General features: G+C 53.6%; 2 annotated features.

Moving 5' to 3' along the window:
* Positions 757-1,257: an enhancer, noted in NCBI's record as "H3K4me1 hESC enhancer chr7:72809718-72810218 (GRCh37/hg19 assembly coordinates)". NCBI's record gives its function as "activates a minimal SCP1, AML or CMV promoter by ChIP-STARR-seq in primed H9 embryonic stem cells {active_cell/tissue: H9 hESC(primed)}" and the evidence as "EXISTENCE:reporter gene assay evidence [ECO:0000049][PMID:30033119]".
* Positions 1,258-1,758: an enhancer, noted in NCBI's record as "H3K4me1 hESC enhancer chr7:72810219-72810719 (GRCh37/hg19 assembly coordinates)". NCBI's record gives its function as "activates a minimal SCP1, AML or CMV promoter by ChIP-STARR-seq in primed H9 embryonic stem cells {active_cell/tissue: H9 hESC(primed)}" and the evidence as "EXISTENCE:reporter gene assay evidence [ECO:0000049][PMID:30033119]".

The raw sequence follows: 5,016 nt of genomic DNA on the forward strand, positions 1-5,016 counted from the left end.
TCCCATGCTGTTATCATGATAGTGAATAAGTCTTACAAGTCTGATGGTTTTATAAAGGGGAGTTTCTCTACACAAGTGCTCTCTTGCCTGCCACCATGTAAGACATGGCTTCCACCTTCCACCATGATTGTGAGGCCTCCCCAGCCACGTGGAACTGTGAGTCCATTAAACCTCTTTTTCTTTATAAATTACCGAGTCTTGGGTATGTCTTTATCAGCAGTGTGAAAACAGACTAATACAGAATGGCTATTCCATAGGCAGAGCAAACCCCAGGGCTGCCGACTGGCTATTTTTATGGTTATTTCTTGATCATATGCTAAACAAGGTGTGGATTATTCATGACTTTTCCAGGACACGGGCAGGCCATTCCCAGAAATGACGGTTCCTCCCCCTTTTAGACCATATAGTGTAATTTCTGGACATTGCCATGGCATTTGTAAACTGTCATGGGGCTGGTTGGGAGTGTCTTTTGTATGCTAATATATCTGTGTGTGTGTGTATATATATATTTTGTTTTTGAGACGGAGTCTCGCTCTGTCACCCAGGCTGGAGTGCAGTGGCACGATCTCGGCTCACTACAATCTCCACCTCCTGGGTTCAAGCGATTCTTCTGCCTCAGCCTCCCGAGTAGCTGTGACTACAGACGCGTGCCACCACGCCCGGCTAATTTTTGTATTTTTGGTAGAGATGGGGTTTCACCATATTGGCCAGGCTAGTCTTGAACTCCTGACCTCGTGATCCACCTGCCTCAGCCTCCTAAAGTGCTGGGATTACAGGAGTGAGCCACTGTGCCTATACGCCATGCTAATATATTTTAATTACCATTAATGAGCAGTGAGGGTGGCCAGAGGTCACTTTAGTCGCCATCTTGGTTTTGGTGGGTTTTGGCCAGCTTCTTTATTGCATCCTGCCTCATCAGCAAAGTCTTTGGACCTGTATCTTGTGATATCGGACTTGCCGACCTCCTATCCCATCCTGTGACTTAGAATGCCTTAACCGCCTGGGAATGCAGCCCAGCCAGTGTCAGCCTCATTTTACCCAGCTGCTCTTCAAGGTGGAGTCACTCTGGTTCAAACGGCTCTGACAGTTACACAAAGGAAGCTCAGAGAAGAGTAACTCCTCCGAGGTCTCCTGGGGTGTGGTGTGGCCAGAACCACCGCTGAAGTCCAATTAAATGAATTACGTGCCTGCAGCCTCTGCCAGGACGAGAGCCTCTACCCTCAGCGCCCAGGGCATGGTGATGTTCTGCCAGGCAGAGGCCACTGCCCTGGAAGAGGGCCGGACTCCAGGACTCCAGAGAGGGTGGAGAGGGCACCTTGCCACCCGCTGGTTGGGCCGAGGCTGGACGCCCACACCCTGGACATTATGGGAGAGAGACGCTGGAGGCAGCTGTGTGACAGTCCTGAGCTTGGACACAAAAGGAATTTGGAGTTTTCCACTGTGATCTAGACCCTGGGTTGTGGTTGGAGAGACCCCAGTTCAAATTCCAGTGTGTAAAAACAGAGATAATAATAGCTGCTGCAAACACGTGTTGTGTGGATTGAATGAATGTGCTTATGAATGGCCCCTAGCAGGTCCTTCCCTACCGGCCCTTCCCAGACCTGACCCGGGGCCTGATCCCTAGGAAGGTTGCATCCCTGCACCCCCAACCAGGAATGGATCCTTCAGAGAGAGGCTGGGACACGGGAGAACTGGGTGACCAGGGCAGAGTGTGATCATGCCCCAAATAGGTTGCTTTTCCACCCGGTCACTTTTTCCCACGGTTGTTGACCTAGAGACAGCTGGAAAACTGGCTGGCCCAAGGGGAAGGGATGGCAGGGAGGGCACAGAGGGACACCTTGACCCTGTCCTGCCTCCCACCTCCCAAGGCGCCAGTCTTCTGGTGGGGGCTGCATCAGAGTGGAGGTCGGGAGGGCCTGGGATACTTAAGGCAGGGACAGTGGCTCTTGGAGCTGCACGGGGATGGGGAGTTGTTTAAAATGTAGCTCTGGGGCCAGGCACGGTAGCTCATGCCTGTAATCTCAGCACTTTGGGAGGCTGAGGCGGGTGGATCACCTGAGATTGGGAGTTCAAGACCAGCCTGGCCAACATGGTGAAACCCCGTCTTTACTAAAAATACAAAAAAATTAGCCAGGCATGGTGGCACATGCCTGTAGCCCCAGCTACTCAGGAGGCTGAGGCAGGAGAATTGCTTGAACCCGGGAGGCAGAGGTTGCAGTGAGCCAAGATCATGCCATTGCACTCCAGCATGGGCAACAAGAGCAAAACTCTGTCTAAAAAAAAAAAAAATGCAGCTCTGCACCAGATGCAGTGGCTCATGCCTGTAATCCCAGCTACTCAGGAGGCTGAGGCAGGAGGATTGCTTGAGGCCAGGAGTTCAAGACCAGCCTGGGCAATATAGCAAGACTCTGTCTCTACAAAAAAATTAAAAATTAGCTAAACATGGCAGCATGTGCACCTGTGGGCCCAGCTACCGCGGAGGCTGAGGTGGGTGAATCGCTTGAGCCCAGGAGGTCAAGGCTGCAGTGAGCCATGATCACACCACTGCACTCCAGCCTGGGCAACAGAGCAAGACCCTGTCTCTTAAAAAATACAAATAAATATAAAATGATCAATTAAAAAAATAAAATGTAGCTCTGGCCCCAACCCCAGAGAGTCTATGTCTTGGGGGGCTCAAAGCAGGCCCTGGAGCCTTTATCATAAGGAGCCTCCCCAAATGACCCTGCTGCAGACCCCAGGCTACACCGGCAGAGGGGTCTCCTCCCAGCTCAACCCTGGTTCCAGGTCACCCTGAGCTCCTCCCTTCCCTTCCGCCTCAGTTTCACCTGCTGTCAGATCACAGAGGAGCGAATAGCGCACTCGGATGCTTTTTAGGGGCTTTCAACTGAAGTCTCTCCGCCTCACAGTCCGCAACCGCTGCCGCCTCTGACTGTTTCTCCATCTTGACTTTGCCCAGGGATCTGTCCTGTCTCCTCTGCAGCTGGCCTGAGCCAGCCCAAGTCAGCCGTCTCTACCGGGCCCCTCTTCTCCAGCAGCTCAGTTTGGGAGGCAGCACCCGTCTTGGGAGACGCAGGGCAGGCAGTAAGCCTGGTGCTGGAGGAAGAGAAGGGGGAAGAAAAGGAGAAGGGGGAGGAGAAGGAGAAGGGGGAGGAGAAGGAGAAGGGGGAGGAGGAGGGGAGAGGGAGGAGGAGAAGGGGAGTGGGAGAGGGAGGAGGAGTAGGGGAAAGGGGAGGGGAAGAGTGAGGAGGAGGCGGGGGGAGGGGAGGGGGAGGGGGAAGAGGAGAAGGGGGAGGAGGAGAGAGGAGAAGAAACCTGGTCCAGATGGGCAAATGGGGCTTGACCAGCGGGTGGGGCCTTGTTGGGGGTGGGGGGCGGGTGCAGGGTTGGCTGGGCCATCTCTGCTCCACGCACAGCCATGTGCAGGATGCCATGTGGCTATTTTTACCCCTGCCAAGGAAATAGCCTGATTTATGTGAGGCATGGTCCCATTTGTTCGGGCCTGTGTTATAAATACACCTGGCCCCACACTCGTGTTCACTTGGACAGAGAACTCAGGTCCTGGCCTGCACAGCCTCTCTCTGGCCTCCCTCCCTGCCTCACCCTGCTATGCAGCCTTGTTGAGAAGGCCTTCTGTTACAGTAGGGAGCTAGTCACACAGGAGCAGGGCAAGACCCCCACAACCAGGAATGTCAGGCAGCCACCAGGTGATGGTCAGATGGTTGAGTTTTTGTTGTTGCTTTTTGTTTTTTTGTTTTTGAGACGGAATTTCTCTCTTGTTGCCCAGGCTGGAGTACAATGGCGCGATCTCGGCTCACAGCAACTTCCGCCTCCCGGGTTCAAGCTGTTCTCCTGCCTCAGCCTCCCAATTAGCTGGGATTACAGGCATGTGCCATCACGCCTGGCTCATTTTGTATTTTTAGTGGAGACAGGGTTTCTCCATGTTGGTCAGGCTGGTCTCAAATTCCCGACCTCAGGTGATCCGCCTGCCTCAGCCTCCCAAAGTGCTGGGATTACAGGCATGAGCCACCACGCCGGGCCTGTTTTTTGTTTTTGAGACGGAGGCTTGCTCTGTTGCCCAGGCTGGAGCACAATGGTGTGATCTTGGCTACTGCATTCTCCGCCTCCCAGGTTCAAGCGATTCTCCTGCCTCAGCCTCCCGAGTAGCTGGGATTACAGGCGCCCACCACCATACCCTGCTAACTTTTGTATTTTTAGTAGAGACGGGGTTTCACCATGTTGGCCAGGCTGGTCTCGAACTCCTGACCTCAGGTGATTTCCCACCTCGGCCTCCCAAAGTGCTAGGATTACAGGTGTGAGCCACCGCACCCGGCCTGTTGTTGTTTGTTGACACAGAGTCTTGCTCTGTTGCCCAGGCTGGAGTGCAGTGGAGCCATCTCAGCTCACTGCAGCCTCCATCTCCCCAGCTCAAGTGATCCTCCCACCTCAGCCTCCTGAGTAGCTGGGACTACAGCCTCCACCACCACACCCAGCTTGCTTATTTATTTATTTATTTATTTATTTAGTATTTTTAGTAGAGCTGGGGTTTCACCATGTTAGCCAGGCTGGTCTCAAACTCCTGACTTCAGGTAATCCACCCACCTCAGCCTCCTAAAGTGCTGGGATTACAGGCATGAGCCACCTCACCCAGCAGTCAGGTGGTTGGTAACTGTCTCTCTAAAATAATAATTGGTTGCAACCAACACCAGGGAAAGGCAGTTTCCCAATAGATAGAAAGCACCTGGAACTGGTGATCAGCAGCTTCCCGATAAGATCTCAGGAGCTGGGCGAGTGGGCTCAAGCATGTGCACTAAGAGGCAACATGGTGGAGTTTAACTGGCATATGACCTGGGAGCATTTGACTGGTAAAGGAAGAATGCCTCAAGTAAGCATGCGCACTTCAGTAAACACGCTGCGCATGAGGCCCCTCCCGAGCGCTGGCAGGCCACTGCGCATGCGGCCCCTCCCGAGTGCTGGCAGGCCACTGCGCATGCGGACAGACCACCCCAAGGGAAGAAT

Source organism: Homo sapiens, chromosome 7 (assembly GCF_000001405.40).
Source record: "Homo sapiens chromosome 7, GRCh38.p14 Primary Assembly".
Taxonomy (NCBI): domain Eukaryota; kingdom Metazoa; phylum Chordata; class Mammalia; order Primates; family Hominidae; genus Homo; species Homo sapiens.